Source organism: Homo sapiens, chromosome 8 (assembly GCF_000001405.40).
Source record: "Homo sapiens chromosome 8, GRCh38.p14 Primary Assembly".
Classification (NCBI taxonomy): Eukaryota; Metazoa; Chordata; class Mammalia; order Primates; family Hominidae; genus Homo; species Homo sapiens.
In genome coordinates, this window is record NC_000008.11 from 16,173,503 (window position 1) to 16,192,887 (window position 19,385).

Below are 19,385 nucleotides of genomic sequence, written 5' to 3' on the forward strand. Positions count from 1 at the left end.
CCAAACGTGTCAGGTCCTTTTACTCAGACAACAATAGTTTGGTTGGTTGGTTGTTATGGTTGGATTTTTGTTTTAGTGTATTTTTAATGGCCAAAAAGAAGTTAATTGTTACCTCTAGAAAATATTTTCCTGTGGTGACTTTTTTGTTTTTTCTTTTTTTTTTGAGACGGAGTCTCGCTCTGTCCCCTCAGGCTGGAGCACAGTGGCGCGATCTCGGCTCACTGCAAGTTCCACCTCCTGGGTTCACGCCATTCTCCTGGCTCAGCCTCCCGAGTAGCTGGGACTACAGGCACCCGCCACCACTCCTGGCTAATTTTTTTGTATTTTTAGTAGAGACGGGTTTTCACCATGTTAGCCAGGATGGTCTCGATCTCCTGACCTCGTGATCTGCCCGCCTCGGCCTCCCAAAGTGCTGGGATTACAGGCATGAGCCACCGTGCCCAGCTGACTTTTTTGTTTTTTTATTGGCCAACCATGTTGTTTTATAAAGACTTGATTAAACTGGGAGACAAGAGACCAGAGTAACTCGGGTTCGGAAGTCTTGGATGGGAACTCCAGCTCCAATACTGAGCTGTCTGAATTTTCTTATGTGGATAATGAGAATAATTACAGTCTCTGTAGAGAGGTTAATTGTAAGGGTGTATTATTGTTTTCATTATTTCTTTCTTAGTGGAATTTTTGCTCTGTCTTGGAATACTTCCTTAGACTGCCCTGTAGCAGAGGAACTTTGGCCTGGTCTTTAGGAACTTTTTTGTTGTTGTTGTTAAACTGCTTAGTATGCACATAAAAATGTATCTTATTCCCAGCCTATCTCTTATTAGAGCACATGGGCAGACATTTTATCAGTCATATAGAGAAGAGGAGAGCTATAAGGCATATAAATTCAAATGCCAATCGAAATACATCAAATCCATCCAAAATGCTACGCGGGGAATAATATTTACATAAGTGCTTACGGTGTATACAAGCTATCTACCCTTGTAGAAACAGTCAAATCTATCTCCGGTTCAAGTCAGACCCTCCAAAGAAATATATACCTCAGGAACATCATTTTGAGCCCAAGTATCACGTTGTATATTTTTTCTTTGAGAAGATACTATCAGGTTATTTTTAGAGATATTTTAAATAATATCCCTATGAAAAATGTGGTCATATAAGCTGGATTTTACTAAGTTGTAGGCCATTATTCTACAAAGTCTCCTCTCTTTAAAAACTGACAGAAATATTTTTTCTGCTCTCAGTACTAAGAATAGAAGAGCTTCTCCTGGACAACAGGCTTTTTTTTTATATTATAGCTATTGTTAATGTAAATGATCATCTTACTTCTTCACATTGGCAAAATGAATACTTTTAAAATTTGTCACCCACATTAGAAGGAGAGGACTCTAGAGGATAATATATTTTTGAAAGAGCGTCCTTTTCATTTTACTATTACAAATCTGTATTTTTATCTTGCACTTCTTTTTTTCCATTCTATTTTGTTTTTTCTAATTTAAAAACTATTTTTTTCTACTTAACTTTGCGGAATCTGTTTTTTAACTTAACAAATTTGAAGGACACTTTGTAATGCAGTATTTTCTTTATGAATGTACCATATACAAAAGACTGAATGCTTCTTTTTTGCTTTGGCAATGAATAATTCACGGGACGAGTTACTAAATTTCAAAACTCTGGGTTACGTTACCTGCCACTATTCCAATGAGAGGGATGAGAACTGCAAACACGAGGAGGTAAAGGGCAATCAGTGCAGCTTTGAAGGACTTCAGTTTCTCTTGAAGGGAAGGGCTGTTTTTAGGATCTAATAAAACAAAAAAGCCCAGCCTACTGTTAGAAAGTGTTGTCTTCTTCCATAATTAAAATTGTTTTAATCTCCAATTATATTCTTACTACCAAGCCTATTGGAATAAAAAAGAAGAAAAAATGTTCCACATCTTTGCAGTAGAAAGCAAAAGGACAGTCACAGGAAAAGCCAATCCAGGTATCATTATAGGCACTTGACTGACTTATCCACTCACTAAACATCTACAAGAAAGTTACTGTGCTCTACAAGTTGTGCTTGTTTGATCTTTTGGAATCAGCTGGTAAATTTTAATATCGACACTTACATATACAAACATAAATTTTATTCAATGTTCATATGGGAAAATATTCTGGGTGACAATAAAATTTTCTAAAGTAACTATGCAATTTTTTAATATTTTAAAATCAGATAGGGCAAATACTTATTTTCAATGACTATGATGTTAAAATAATTTTCTTGTTCAATTCCTTCTCAATAGTTTTGTATCTGCATACCTCTTATGATTTGAATACAGTGTAAACAATATTTAAGAAAAATGAAATAAAGTGATTCACATTTTTACTAATCTTTAGAATGGATCAATGAAGCCCACTCTCTCTATATTTCAGAACATATTAATAACAGTAACCTTTTATTCATATGCATTTATATGGCACTGTGATTTATATAATGGGATATTAATTGTAGTAGAGACAAATCAATATAAAGGGGAAACAGTAGATGAGGAAGTCATTTCTCTGATTAGTTGAATACAATGGTCATTAAAAATTTATTTTCTATGGTCATTGCTTTCATTGATCAATTAAAAAAAGTAAATGTTGCTTTCAGGTTGCAAATTGTTAAATTAAAAACAAACTTTTTTATTTTAAGGTATTGAAAAGAAAATAAGAGACAGTTTTTAAAAAGTAAAGAAAAGAGAAGAGCTGGATGCAGTGGCTCACGCCTGTAATCCCAGCACTTTGGGAGGCCAAGGCGGGAGGATGGCTTGAGCCTAGGAGTTTGAGACCAGCCTGGGCAACATGGAGAAACCCTGGCTCTACAAAAACTACAAAAATTAGCCAGTCATGGTAGCATGTCCCTGTAACCCAAGATACTTACGAGGCTGAGGTAGGAGAATTGCTTGAGCCCAAGAGGTTGAGGCTGCAATGGGCTATGATCGCACCACTGCACTCCAGCCTAGGTGAAAAAGTGAGACCCTGTCTCAAAAAGAAAAAAAAAAAAAGGAAAAGAGAGAAAAGGAAAGGAAAGAAAAGATGGAAGGAAAAAAGAAAAAGAACCCATAATAGAAGCAAGTGGAGATATAGTCCACCTGCCAGGTTGATTAAGCCTGAAAAGTAGGAGTCATCTTCTCATCTCTAATTTATCATCACAAATGTAAATTCTACCTTTTAAATAGCTCTCAAACATTTTGATTGCTTTTTCTCTGCTCCCGATGTCTCTCTCCTCCTTCTTCAAACTCTCATCATTTCTGTCTGTAACAGCCCTCACTGTTATCTTTTCTTACATGTGTCTCACTTGTGCCATATCCTCCCATCCATCCTTTACACAGAGCACAAGATCCACTGTGCCCTGGAGTTGAGGTCTGTATTTCAGGTTTGCTATGTAAGAACTCATATATGAGGCTTTAACTTTGTATATGCTGCTTCTTCACACTGAAATATCTTCTCTTTCTTTTCTGCCTCCACCCATCCCCTTAGCGATATGTATTTATATTTTGAGGTTTAGCAGAATTATAAGTAACTTTCTCCTGACATCTTAAATGATCCTGTTGAGATACAGCTGAGTATTGCTACTTTTTAGCTGTTGTCGTAACCTGTGCAAACATGTTTCACCACTGCTATATGGGTTGAATTCTGTGCCACCAACAGATATGTTAAAGTTTTAACCATAGGTACCAGTGAAAGTAAGTTTATTTGGAAATAGGGTCTTTGGAGATGTAATCAAGTTAAAATGAAGTGATATTGGATTAGGGTGAACCCTAATCTAATGACTGATGTCTTTGTAAGAAAAGAACAAATAGCTACAGAGAGAAGACCATACGAAGAAGGCGGGAAAGATGAGTGGTGCAGCTACAGAGGCAAGGAACACTAAGGACTGCCAGTAGCCCGTAGAAGCTGGGAGGAGGCACAGGAAGATTCTTCTCTAGAGCCTTCGAAAGGGCACATGGTCTTTCTGACACCTGCATTTTAGACTTCTGCATCTCAGAACTGTGAGCGAATACATTTCTGTTTTAAGCCTCCCATTTGTTACAACAACTCTAGAAAACTAATACAGGCACCTACCACCCATGATTTTCGAATATTAGCTCACGGTGCTAGGATCATATTTATCTCCAGAACCTAATATTGTAGCTGGGAAGCCAGAAGGCTCAATCAATGTTGTAGATTAATTTAATTTCATATAATACTGCCTTACTTTTATTTAAGCTTATTTTTATTCTGTCTCAAGAATACCCCTGTTGGTCAAATAAGTATTATTTTAACATCCACTTACATTTAAGGTAAGTCTCAAGACTATAATTTTATATTTTGTCAATAACTCTAAGAACAACCTCCATGGGCAGCCCATCCCCCTCTACTTACTCGGAGGAAGCAAAGCTGTCATTGAGCGAGCATCAAATTTCACAGATTCGGAGCAGCTATCAGTGTCCTCCTGTTGATTGTGAAAGTGATCCCACTGCTCCATACTTCTATGAAACAAAATGGAAAAATATATTAATTCCACATGAAATGGCTAGGGCTCTTTTGCATAATGTTTTAAACTGAAATTTCAGTTTGAAATGGAATCTATTCAGTTTTTCTTTTTTTTTTTTAATTATACTTTAAGCTCTAGGGTACATGTGCACAACGTGCAGGTCTGTCATATATTATACATGTACCATGTTGGTGTGCTGCACCCACAAACTCGTCATCTAACACTAGGTATATCTCCTAATAGCTATCCCTCCCCCCTCCCCCTACCCCACAACAGGCCCCAGTGTGTGACGTTCCCCTTCCTGTGACCATGTGTTCTCATTGTTCAATTTCCACCTATGAGTGAGAACATGCGGTGTTTGGGTTTTTGTCCTTGCGATAGTTTGCTGAGAATGATGGTTTCCAGCTTCATCCATGTCCCTACAAAGGACATAAACTCATCCTTTTTTGTGGCTGCATAGTACTCCACGGTGTACATGTGCCACATTTTCTTAATCCAGGCTATCGTTGGACATTTGGGTTGGTTCCAAGTCTTTGCTATTGTGAATAGTGCCGCCGCAATAAACATATGTGTGCATGTGTCTTTATACCAGCATGATTTATAATCCTTTGGGTATATACCCAGTAATGGGATGGCTGGGTCAAACGGTATTTCTAGTTCTAAATCCCTGAGGAATTGCCACACTGACTTCCACAAGGGTTGAACTAGTTTACAGTCCCACCAACAGTGTAAAAGTGTTCCTATTTCTCCACATCCTCTCCAGCAGCTGTTGTTTCCTGACTTTTTAATGATCACCATTCTAACTGGTGTGAGATGGTATCTCATTGTGGTTTGGATTAGCATTTCTCTGATGGCCAGTGATGATGAGCATTTAAAAAAAAATGAAACGGAATCTATATTCTATGACACAATCTGTAATAAATAACATTTAATTTTAGCAAAAAAACCATAATTAGTTAAATTTGTATATCTCTCATATACAGCAATGTATTAAACTTACCCATAAGTTTTAACTTTCACGTAAAAAGACAGATGTATGTGGAACCCTCTCATGTATCTTTCTATTTACAAACATGTATGTCTATTTTTAGAGGTGTGTTTTTTGAGTGTGGAAAAAGAGGTATCTCTTCTTTCTTAGCTGAAAAGTTTTTTACAGGTGACAGAAAATAACTTGTAAAATGATTTAATCAGTAATTTAATAGAGTAAAAGGAAGGAAATAAAGAAATGTCTGGATCTGAATGATCTGATTTGACTTCTTACAAAAGTCAATTTTCCCAGATAATTGTTTTAATTTGCCTCTATCTGACAAAAGAGAGGATTTGGGAACTATGCCTGCCTTCCTCCATCCTCTTCCTCCACAATGTTTAAATCCATTAGAGAACATAGTCCTTGTCCATATCAACATAGGATTCAGAAAAAACAGTTCTCAGAAATGATGCACATACAAATTGTCATTGCGAACTGCCAAATAAGGAATTTCCTTAGTATTATTTTAATTACTCTATTTGCTGAAAAAACAATAATTTCCCTTAGGACAAATAGTTTTGCATATTTGGACTAAATAAATATTTCCTGGATCTTTTAAGAAAATTATTTATTGGCCGGGCACAGTGGCTCACGCCTGTAATCCCAGCACTTTGGGAGGCTGAGATGGGTGAATCACCTGAGGTCAGGATTTCGAGACCAGCCTGGCCAACATGGTGAAACACAGCTCTACTAAAAATACAAAACAATTAGCCAGGTATGGTGGCACCTGTAATCCCAGCTATTCGGGAGGCTGAGGCAGTAAAATCGCTTGTACCCGGAAGACAGAACTTGCAGTGAGCCGACATTGCACCGCTGAACTCTAGCCCGGGCAAGAAGAGTGAAACCCTGTGTCTCAAAAAAAAAAAAAAAAAAAAAAAAGTATTTATTTATTTATTTACTTATTTTGAGACGGAGTCTCACTGACTCTGTTTCCCAGGCTGGAGTGCAGTGGTGCAATCTCAGCTCACTGCTACCATGTTGTCCAGGCTGATCTTGAACTCCTGACCTCAAGTCTGCCTCCCAAAGTGCTGTGATTGCAGGTGTGAGCCATTGTACCCGGTCTCTCTCTTTCTCTCTGTCTGTCTCTCTCTCTCTCCCCTTCTCCCTCTCTCCTCTCTCTCCCTTCTTTCTCTCTCTCTCCCTTCTCTCTTCTCTCATTCACTCTTTCACTTTCCAGAGCTTTTCTCATTTTACATTGGCAGCCATATAAATATGTCCTTGTACCTTTTCCAGCATAATCTCTATTTTATGTGCATACTAAGCAGCTTTTAAAAATGTTCCTGTGTCTCTTTAACATGTATCAGAAACATTGGAAAGGTTTGATAAAAAGAAACTGATGGGCCTCACCACCAGAGTTTCTGATATTTGGGGTGGGGGCTCAAGAATTTGCAATTCCAACAAATTCTCAAGAGGTGATGCAATTGGTCTGAGGACCACATTTTAAGAACCTTTTCCATAAAAGGTGATTATGACTTCTTTTGTTGGACACAGTTCCGTTCATGTGATTGACAAATTTAGCATAAAGCCAACATCTTCTGATCATTTCTTATTTTCTTGAATGCTGTGTAATGGACTTAGCACAGCACAGTTCTAACTGAGTGCACTGGCATCTTTAGGACAGCAAAGTCAAATCCAGCTCAGGAAATGAAGGGCGATCATTCAGATGCAAATGTTCATCCCACTGTGGGGAGAGGCAGTGACATGCAAGGATATGACTCAACTCCTGTCAATATATTTTGAAAATATCACTAAGAAGATTCTTTATTTGGAAGTTTGCAGTGACAGTCGTTGCATATTCCTCCTTTCTGAGAGTTGGTTTTCATGAATGCTATGTTGATCTGACCAAGGACTCTGTTCTTTAATGGATCTGACCACTGTGGAGAAAGGGAATGAAGGGAGGTAGGCATAGAACCCAAATCTTCTCCTTTCTCAGGTAGAGGCAAAGCAAAATAAATAAACAATTATCTGGGAAAATGAACTATTGTAAGAAGCCAAACTGGATTATTTAGATCCACACTCTTCTCTATTTCCTCCCTTTATTAGATTTAAAGAGCAGTTTTACTCACCAAGCAAAACAAATGAACAAAAAAACCAAATAATTAAAAAAAACTGACATGACAATAAAACTTAGCAAAATTCACTTTAAAATATAGTTGAATAATTCATAATCCTTTGGGAATATACGCAGTAATGTGATTGCTGGGTCAAATGGCATTTCTGGTTCTAAATCCTTGAGGAACTGCCACACTGTCTTCCACAATGGTTGAACTAATTTACACCCCACCAACAGTGTAAAAGCATTCCTATTTCTCCATATCCTCTCCAGCATCTGTTGTTTCTTGAATTTTAATGATCGCCATTCTTGGAACCAATCCAAATGCCCATCAATGATAGATTGGATAAAGAAAATGTGGCACATATACACCATGGAATACTATGCAGCCATAAAAAAGAGTGAGTTCATGTCCTTTGCAGGGACATGGATGAAGCTGGAAACCATAATTCTCCGCAAACTAACACAGGAACGGAAAACAAAACATCACATGATCTCACGTATAAGTGGGAGCTGAACAATGAGAACACATGGACCCAGGGAGGGGAACATCACACACTAGGGCCTGTCAGGGGGTGGGAGGCAAGGGGAGGGATAGCATTAAGAGAAATACCTAATGTAAATGATGGGTTGATGGGTGCACCAAACCACCATGGCATGTGTATACCTATGTAACAAACCTGCACATTTTGCACATGTATCCCAGAACTTAAAGTATAATTTAAAAAAAAAAAAGAAAAACGAAAACCCTATAGTTTAAGGCAATTGGAACTATGTACTAATGCTTTTTAACTTTGAACTCAGTTTGTAAAAGATGGATTCGCAAAAATTGTGTTCAAGTATACCTGGTATGTATAGACATGTGTCAATTAAGGACAAAGATACGTTCTGAGAAATGCATTGCTAGTCAATTTCATGGCTGTGTGAACATCATAGAGTGCATTTACACAAACCTAGATGGTCTAGCCTACTGCTGCTAGGCAACAAACCCACCCCAGGCTGTGTGGTCTAGCCTATTGCTCCTAGGATTCACACCTATATAGCATGTTATACTGTGCTGAATCCTGTAGGCAGTTGGAACACAATGGCAAGTATGTGTGTTTCTAACATATCTACACATAGAGAAATGCAGTAAAAATATGGTATAAAAGATACGAAGTTCTGCACCTGTACAGGGCAATTGGATAAATGAAACTTGCAGGACTGGAAGTTGCTCTGGGTGAGTCAGTGAGTGAGCGGTGAGTGAATGTGAAACACTGTAGACTTTATAAACATTGCACACTTAAGCTACACTGAATGTATAAAAAATTTTATTTGTTCAATAATAAATTAGCCTTAGTTTACAGTACCTTTAATACTTTAGAAACCTTTTTAAACAACATTTTTACTCTTTTATAATAACACCTGGCTTAAACCATAAATTGTGTAGCTGTACAAAAATAATTTCTTTCTAAACAGCTTTATCCTATAAGCTATTTTAACTTTTTTTTTTTTTAATGTTTCTACTTCTTTAACTTTTTTGTTGATAACTAAGGCACAAACACACACATTAGCCTAGGCCTACACAGGGTCAGGCTCATCAATGCCACTGTCTTCCCCTCCATATCTTCTCCCACTGAAAGATCTTCAGAAACAATAACAGGCATGGAGCTGTCATCTCCTATGATAACATTGCCTTCTTCCAGAATACCTCCTAAAGGACATACCTGAGGCTGCTTTATGGTTGAATCTTTTTTTATAAATAGGAGGAGTACACACCAAAATAATGATTAAGAAGTATAATATGGTAAATACATAAACCATTAACATTTATTATCAAGTATTAAATACTTACGTAACTGTATGTGCTATACTTTTAAATGACTGGCAGAGCAGTAGGCTTGTTTACACCAGCATCACCACAAATATGTGAGTAATGCAATTTCCTATTCCCTTAGAACAGCTATGAGGTCAATAGGTGATAGAATTTTTCAGCTCCATTATAATCTTATGGGACCACCATCATACATATGGTCCTGTGTTGACTGAAACATTATTATGTAGTGCATGTCTATAACCAGAAAAGCTTTCCTTTCAGGCTACCTACTGGCCCCTTCTCCACATGTTTGATTATGGCTTTGATCCTCACATTTGAGATATTCTGCCTCCATTTTTACTGAAATGCAAAATAAACAGCTCAGATTATTCTATCTACCAGGTAAGACCGTTTGTGAAAAAAGCTGAAGACTTTTGAATCTGATAAACATCTTTACACTCTGAACTCTGAACGAGTAGGGACCATGTCTGCTTTTGTCCACATTATGTCACTACAGCCTAAAGCAACCTGGAACATTGAATATATTAAATAAATATTGAATATACTGAATAAATAGAATATGCTGAATATTCATATATGAATAGATGAATAACTATATAGATATAAATATTCATTATATAATTACATCTATAACATGTAATACATATTTATATATACATTATATAATATATAATTTATATTATGTTAATATATTACATAATATATTATATAATAGGCAAATATATAATATATATAATATATAATATAATAAATATATTATCATATTAATATAACATATATTATAAATATATATTTCCCAATTATATTATATGTAATACCATATATATTTGGCAATTATATAATATATAATATAAATATATGTATAATTATATGTAATTTATATTATGTTAATATATTATATATTATATTAGTTGGCAAATATATTATATATTATATATTTTATATATCATAGAATTGGCAATATATAATATTAAATATATTTATATTATTATATAATATATAATTATATATATATATATGGCACAGGCATAGTACAAAAGTGAGTGATTAACTCTTTTGGGGAAGTGGGTAATCAAGGTAGGAATACAGAAAAGATGACAATGAATCAGGGTTTTGAAAATGAGCAGAATCTGGGGTAAGGTCATTCCAGGATGGAAAATATCATGTTAAAAAGCATGAAGGTATGAACAATATGGAACTGAGAGCAGTTTTAATTTTTCATAAAGACAACATTTATTTTTCACCTTAACATTTATTTTTAATATGCCTTACTTAGGTTAAGAGAAAACAAAGATTTAAAAAGCCAAGTGTCCCTTTTATTATTATACTTTCTTTTCACATAACCTTTTCAGCCTAGATTCAGGTAACTTCCTGTCTCTCCCATTAAAGGAGAGGGGTCCTGCACATTACAACAGGCAAAAAAGGCTTTCAGGAAATAAAATGTTTTAATTTGATCTATTACATCTGTTCAATTTTCTTGAGTACCTTCGAGAGTGGGAAAAAGACAAAAGGAGAAAAAAATGGTATTTTAAACAAACAGACTATAATAACCTTAGTTAGGTTGGTAGTACACTATTTATGCTTTTTCTCTAAACAGGTACAAAGGAGGTTCAAAAAGAAGAGGCTGGAGAGGCATGTAGCCGGTAGCATCCGACTCATCAATTTCTTCCTTTATTTTTCTGATCGCATAAATTGATCTGGCTTTCACAACCTACCCAAAATATAACATTGAATTACTATCTATACAAATGAAGTAAAAATTTATTGTTTGCTTTGGCAGTAGTGACCTGGATTAATATTATTAGTGAGACAATATATATTGTTTATGAAACATTTTGCTTTTCTCCCTTTCACTTTGAACTAGAGATGAAGCTTGATTTTGTTTTTTCTTTAAGTTTCTAACCTTTGATTTATTTTTTTTTAGCATATAGAAGTGATAATAAATATTTTGTGGATTACTATATTTTAAACCGTGGTTACCTTGGGAAGATTTATTTAATCTCTGAAAAAGGAAAACCACCTAGTACATGTCTATGAGTGATTTAGACTAACTGACACTATTTAGTCTATAAAATACCCCTGACAGGTGTAGTGGGCCAGAAGGGAGGTGAACACTGAAGCATACTCAGTGCAATGAGGAATGAACAATATTCCCTATGGCTACATTTGTGCACCATGGGAAGTCTGTTTGCTTTCTGGGCAATGTTCAAAAGGGATTGGTTTATCATGAACTGCACGAAATGTTGGTATGTATATTTTCCAGAAAAAAAAAAAAGCTCACATTCATCAGAGATAATGAAGCCATAGGATTTGTGGCATTTTCTGATGTTACTTTCTTTTTTCTTAGTCTGCACAGTCTCTCTGAGAATCTCATCTACTTCCATGGCTTGAACTACTGCCTGTGTCCTGATCAAGCCAATATAGCCAAACCAGATCTCAATCTCAGCATCAGCTTTTGTTTTACATAACACAACTAGCTACAAACGTGGATTTTCTACAGCAACCTAACTTTTCTTTTTCCAGGATTTTCACTGTGGTTATATCATCCATTTACATCATCTATTTATTATCATACCCACTTATTATTATCATCTACTTACTGTATAGTGGAGAATATGTGATATAGTTAGGAATATGCCGGCAAAGCACAGTCACGCAATCTGAGCCCAGAACTGCTTTTCTAGACCGCTCTCATCTATAAGACCCATATCTGACTGCACAAAAACTCCTGATTTCCTTTGATCCATTCCTTCCATTCTATTCCAATTTTTGGACTTCGGCTTATTTTTATCTACTCCAGCCAGGCATCTTGGGTAACAGCAATGGTGCAGACAATTAAGAGGAAAATCCAAGGGCATTAAGAGAGAGGACAAATTAATAGCATCTAAAACACAGCATTTTAACAAAGAATCGTAGGGAAAAAGTCAAACAGTAGAAGATACCTTTTTTCAGGAAAAAAAAAAAAAAACACCACACACATAAACTTGAAAAACATGATATTCAGTGGGTGAGTAGAGGAAGAAGACTCAGCACAAAAGACAAGGAAGAACTTTTTGACGCTGCAAGAGAAAAACAAGAAGCAGTCAGGGTCATGGAAAAGAACAAAGAAGTTCGTGGCCTGCAAGAAATCCATAACCTGCCACATAGAATTTAAGTTGTTTTTCCTGTGTGGTAGAAGCAGAAATAAAACCTTGCAAGATTGGCAGTAATAAATGTATAAAAATGAAAGTCCCTGAGTGCATAAATGAAAGTTGTTCATGCTCACGGTTTTTTGTTGAGAAGAGAGATACTGATGATTGCACTGAGATAGCACATCCAGGGGAGTTTTATTTATTTCTGGGTATTCCTCCTCATCTCCCCAACGTCTCAACAGCAGAGTGAGCCAGGGTCCAGTTTCTGTTCTGTTTTCTCTCCTATTTTCACTCCCTTGGTGATCTCACTAGCCTCATTGCTTTAAATATAATCTAGAAGGCTGATGACTCTTAAGTCTTTATCTCTTGCCCATAGCTCGTCTCTCAACTACAAACCCATATATGCACTGCCTAACAACACCCCTGCTTAGAATTCTAATATGGTGCAAACCTAGAGGTCTTCTTTTCCTCGCCTTTTCTCATCCACTACATCCAATCTCTCATCCAACCCTGTTGCTTTGTTTTCAAACGCTATGTAGAAACTGAGGGCTTCTTGTCACTTCCTTGCTAGCATCCTGTCCAAGCCCCATCATCCCTTTCACCGTGACATTTCTTTTTTTTTTTTTTGAGACAAGGTCTTGCTCTCTTGCTCAGGCTGGAGTGCAGCCGTGTGATCACATCACTGCAACCTTGACCTCCTGGGTTCAAGTGATTCTTCCACCTCAGCCTCCTGAGTAGCTGGGTCTACGGGTGCATGCCACCATGCCCATCTAGAGATGCAGTCTTACTATGTTGCCCAGGCTGATCTCAAACTCTTTAGCCTCAAGCAATCTACCCACCTCAGCCTCCCAAATTTTTGGCATTACACACATGAGCTATTGAGCATGGCCTCACCTTGTTGATTTTAATAGCTCCCTGACTTTCACGCTTACATTCTTGAATTAATTCTCCACACACTTCCCAGAAGAATCCTCTTAAAAAGTAAGGCAGATTGAGTCACTCCCATGCTCAAAGCCCCTGAATGCCTTCTCGTCTCACTCAGGCCGTCATTAAAGTCTGACTCAAAAAAGCAGACCACCTGTAATTCCTGCACTTTGGGAGGCTGAGGCGGGTGGATCACCTGAGGTCAGGAGTTCGAGACCATCCTGGCCCAATGATGAAACCCTGTCTCTACTAAAAATACAAAAAATTAGCTGAGTGTGGTGGCGGGTACCTCTAATCCCAGCTACTCAGAAGGCTGAGACAGGAGAATTGCTTGAACCTGGGAAACAGAGGTAGCAGTGAGCCAAGATCAGGCCACTGCACTCTAGCCTGGGCAACAAGAATAAAACTCTGTCTCCAAAAAAAAAAAAAAAAAAAAAAAAAGGAAAGAAAGAAAAAGCAAGCAAGCAAGCAAGCTGACTGTTCCTGAACATCCATTTTCAACCTACAACCCCTTGGGGCTTTGTCTTCCCCACCCTGGCTTCATTTTCTTTCCCCCAAAAACATATATTCCTTATTTGTCTTGTCTATCATCTGTCTTCTCTCATCCAAGCCAGATCCATGATGTGGACTTTTGATCTCTTTGGTTCAGGGATCAGAGAGTTCCTGAAGGTGCTCATTACATACATAATGCCGTATTTAAAATTACATAAATAAATGAAAGGCAAGATATTTTTCAAGATGACTGGATTTTATATCTTAGGTTATGCCTCAAGAAAACTTTGTGGTTCACTAAAGTAGGGATTTTAAAAATTCTTCTGTTACATATTGGAAAATAAAATATTTCTCTCTGCACTGCACGTAACTAGCAAACTGAAACAAAAAATATTACCCTCAGTGAACCCACTTTGCTTCAAAAGCATTTATTATTAAAATTACCAGATTATTTCAGCTGCTTACTCTGGTTATAATCATTGTAATTTTTTAGTAACGTGAACATACATACTTGCATGAGCCTTCATTAGCAGGCAGTGAACAACTCACACTGTTCAAGTGTGCCTTTTAATATCAGTTCCACAGTTAGGACAAAAAGTAGCTTCACATAAAGTTACTCTTCCTATTAAATGTCAGTGTGCTGATAAACGATTGTAAAATCCTTGGAGTTTGTGTAATCTATTAAAAGCACGTGCTCATGAGAAGTGAAACACGTTTCTGTAATATCAGCATTTTATCAAGTGGATGAAAAGTTTACAGGAAATTCATAATGAAAGAATTTCAAGGTTAATTTGTTGGGAACCATATACCTTACTTTTTTGTTTTTATTATAAAACATTTTAATAATATTATAGATATGTTAGGATGAAATTTCTGTCATCTCATCACCCTAATAAAGGAAAAAAACCCTTAATTTTTTAAATGAAACTCGAGTCTTTGGATGTATGTATACCTGTAACATAGTTCATATCATCATGCACGTATCATTTGGTATTACGCGTTTTCCTTAAAATCACCTCATTATTTTAATATTTCAAACGAATTTTTCAAACTTGAAATTTTTTTTATTATTCTTTAGGTTCTGGGATACACGTGCAGAACGTGCAGGTTTGCTACATTGGTATACATATGCCATGGTGGTTTGCTGCACCCATCAGCCCATCATCTAGGTTTTAAGTCCCACATGCATTAGGAGTTTGTCCTAATGCTATGCCTCCCCTTGCCTCCCACCTACTGACAGGCCCCGGTGTGTGATGCTCCCCTCCCTGTGTCCACGTGCTCTCACTGTTCAACTGTCACTTATGAGTGAGAACATGCAGTGTTTCTTTTTCTGTTCCTCTGTTAGTTTGCTGAGAATGATGGTTTCCAGCTTCATCCATGTCCCTGCAAAGGACATCAACTCATCTTTTTTATGGCTGCATAGTAGTCCATGGTGTATATATGCCACATTTTCTTTACCCAGTCTATCACTGAGGGACATTTGGGTTGGTTCCAAGTGTTTGCTACCTAATAATTCAACACACATACATATATATATATATATATATATATATATATAAAACAACATATATATATGTGTTGAATTATTATGTAGCAAAGACTTGCTTATATATATAAAACCTTATTTTACATATATTTCATATATACGCAAAACCTTATTTTACATATATTTCATATATACGCAAAACCTTATTTTACATATATTTCATATATACGTAAAACCTTATTTTACATATATTTCATATATACGTAAAACCTTATTTTATATATATTTCATATATGTAAAATCTTATTTTATATATATTTAGATATAATCTTATTTTATTTATATTTCAAATATATAAAATCTTATTTACATTTCATATATATATAAAATCTTATTTACATTTCATATATATATAAAATCTTATTTTATATATTTTTATATATATTTTATATATATAAAATCTTATTTTATATATATTTTATATATATTTTATATATATAAAATCATATTTTATATATATAAAATCTTATTTTATATATATTTTATATATTTTATATATAAAATCTTATTTTATATATATTTTTATATATAAAAAATCATATTTTATATATATTTTATATATTTTATATATATGAAATCTTATTTTATATATATTTTATATATATTTTATATATATATAAAATCTTATTTTATATATATTTTATATATATATAAAATCTTATTTTATATATATTTTATATATATATAAAATCTTATTTTATATATATTTTATATATATATAAAATCTTATTTTATATATATTTTATATATATATAAAATCTTATTTTATATATATTTTATATATATATAAAATCTTATTTATACAGCCATTTTTCTAAATAAAAAATACAGCCATTTTTCTAAAATATAATTTTTTCTTTTAAACTTTTTTTCCTTTTCCCAGGGGGCAATGCTTCACTGATATAAATAATGATGTTATAAATATTTCCTTTTTTTTTTTTTTTTTGAGATTGAGTCTTGCTTTGTCACCCAGGCTGGAGTGTAATGGTGTGATCTCAGCTGACTGAAACCTCTGCCTCCTGGGTTCACGTGATTCTCCTGCCTCAGCTTCCCGAGTAGCGGGATTATAGGCGTTTGCCACCATGCCCAGCTCATTTTTGTATTTTTCACCGCGTTCATCCAGCTGGTCTCAAACTCCTGACCTCAGGTGATCCACCCTCCTTGGCCTCCCAAAGTGCTGGGATTACAGATGTGAGCCACTGCCCCGGCCATTATTTTCATAATTTAGCTTTCTTCTTTTAAAATGTTTCTTTAGGATAATTCATCATATGTGAAACTAAAAAGTGAAAGGAAAACTATTTTGAACTTCTTGGGCTCTACTGTCTTAGTGATCTTTAAAAAGATAACATAAATTTATAAATATTCCAGACTTATATGTGAATATGGCAGTTTCAAGCAAAATTCACTACCATTGAATAATAAAGCTTATTTTAGAATCATTTAGATTTTGATAAGAGTTAAATAATACCTAAAAGTGGTTTTCATTTTTATTTTTTATTATTAATGTAAGAGAGAGATTTCACTGTAATTGTCTGTCATACATTGTTCTTCTTGGGTTATTATCTATTCATATTCACTGCTTATACATCCCCACAGGTTTCTTTTACCTAAGCATGTGAATCAGCTCTTTATGTTTAATACATATTTACCATCTGTCTTTTCATACTTGACATGCATTCGTTTTCCTAAGATTTTTCCCTATTTAGTTTTTTTATCATATTCTTTCTTTTTTCTTTCTTTCTTTTTGTTTTTGAGATGGAGTTTCGCTCTTGTTGCCCAGGCTGGAGTGCAATGGCGTGATCTTGGCTCACCACAACCTCCGCCTCCTGGGTTCATGTGATTCTCCTGCCTCAGACTCCGGAGTAACTGGGATTACAAGCATGCACCACCACGCCCGGCTAATTTTGTATTTTCAGTAGAGACAGGGTTTCTCCATGTTGGTCAGGCTGGTCTTGAACTCCCGACCTCAGGTAATCCACCTGCCTTGGCCTCCCAAAGTGCTGGGATTACAGGCGTGAGCCACCGTGCCCGGCCCATCATATTCTTAAGGCCAACTTTATCTTCAACATTTGGAATAAATAATAAGCTTGTGATCCTCCTTATTATATAAAATAATAACTTTGATTTTTGTAACAGCAGTTGAATGTGTATATAAAATGAAAATTAAATTAAGATTATTTGTGAAACTAACAGCTTTATGCTTAAGGAACCCGTCTGTAAGACAGATTTTAGTAAGAAATGGAAATATTTATATTGTGCCTGATGTCACTGATATTCATCCTTGGTAGCAAAGAAGAAAGAGCATCAACTTTTGAATCTGAAATCTAGATTTGAGTATTGACTGTGACATCATTTAGCTGTGTGATCTTAGGCAAATATTTTAACTTATTTGAATTGAACTTTCTTTAGATATGTAAAATATGATCACAATATAAATTTAAAGAATTATTGCGAGAATTAAAAATAATTTTTGTAAATTGCCTGGTACACAGAAAACCATCAATATATGAATCCCTGTTATTTTAAAATATCACTTTTTTTTTAAATATGAGCTTTTCTTATTTTGTTCTCACGGAATCTTCATGAGGTACAAGTAGTATTTTCTCCATTTTACAGGTTAGGGAACTGAAATGTGTAAGTAACTAGTCAAGTTACTCAACTAGGGAGCAGGGGAGCTGGAATTTGAACACAGGCAGTCTACTCCCAGAAGATTAGCTCTTACCCACTGCATAAAACGGCTAATCACTGCATAAAACATCTGTAATCTCAGTTCTATGGTTTTTCTATAAGTATTTTTACCTGGTCAGTGCAAATGCCAACCTCCCATTATATGCTGTGTGAATCTTACTTAGTCTTCAAGATTAATCAGATTTCTAGCATCTCCATGAAGATTTATTTTTGATAGACTTTTTTCACATAGAAGTAATTTTGGCCTCGCCTATATTTTCATAGTAATTATCTATAGCATTTTCATACTACTTAAGGTGCTAGTAATTATCTATAGTACTTTCATACTACTTAAGGTGCTCAAATTACATTATGCCTATTTGGGGATATGTTTTAAATCATAAGATTCCGGAGCACAAAAAGAACTATATCTTATTTTTTGTATCCTTTCCCCACATCTAGTTCAATGAAGTGCATATAGTAGATACCCAGCCAATATTTGCTATATAATCAAGGGAAGATAATAAAAGGCATTAGATTAAAGCCAAAAATGTTCCATGAAAAGTTATGAAAGGAGAATAGGTGAAATATGTCAAATTATACTTTGAATAAAACCAGTATTTTAAACAAAATATGCTTAATTATATGAAAAAACCCCATTGCTGGTTCAAACTACAAAGCATTTAGTGTATTTCATATGTACTTGTGAACATATATGTTTTTCACTCATGGAAAATTTAGCAGAAATCCCTATTTTTTGATTATCGAAAAAAACCAAACCAAATTATTGCTGATACAATAAAGCATTCATCTCATCATACACACACAGACACACAAATATATATCACACACATGCATGCACACACACACACAGAGTACACACATAACAATCAATAGAAACAATTCTGGAAAAAACATTAAAATAAGCCTTTTTTTTTCTTTACCTTTCGTCCTAAAGAAAGCAGCACTGATTTATCCACTTCTCTCTCTTTACAATTGAAACCTAAAATCTTTATCTCATAGTATTTCAGCATCTGGTACATGAAGAAAGGAAATGACACATTCCTGCGTTGAAAATCTTTCTTAATGTGTTTCAATAGCACTCTCATCAATGCACAGGTTTGCAAAATCTAAATTTGTCAGATAACTCACTCTTCACCCCATTTAGGCCGCTTTAAAAAAAAAAGAGAAGTGAAAAGGAAAAGAAACAAGGGTTGTTGAAACAAGCACATAA

General features: G+C 35.1%; 1 protein-coding gene across 5 annotated transcripts in view; it reads right to left on the reverse strand.

The window, feature by feature from the left end:
• Positions 1-19,149, reverse strand: part of MSR1 (macrophage scavenger receptor 1) — an 84,771-nt gene extending 65,622 nt beyond the window's left edge. For 3 of the 5 annotated variants that reach the window (NM_138716.3, NM_138715.3, NM_002445.4), the window contains exons 1-3: positions 19,096-19,149; positions 4,384-4,490; positions 1,685-1,798 (exon numbers count right to left, since the gene is read on the reverse strand). In NM_138716.3, the coding sequence (NP_619730.1) occupies positions 1,685-1,798; positions 4,384-4,486 (217 nt within the window). In that variant the 5' untranslated portion in view covers positions 4,487-4,490; positions 19,096-19,149. Of the gene's footprint in view, positions 1-1,684; positions 1,799-4,383; positions 4,491-12,656; positions 12,771-19,095 lie in introns of those variants that run through there. The other 2 variants (NM_001363744.1, XM_024447161.2) reach the window with 1 other exon arrangement.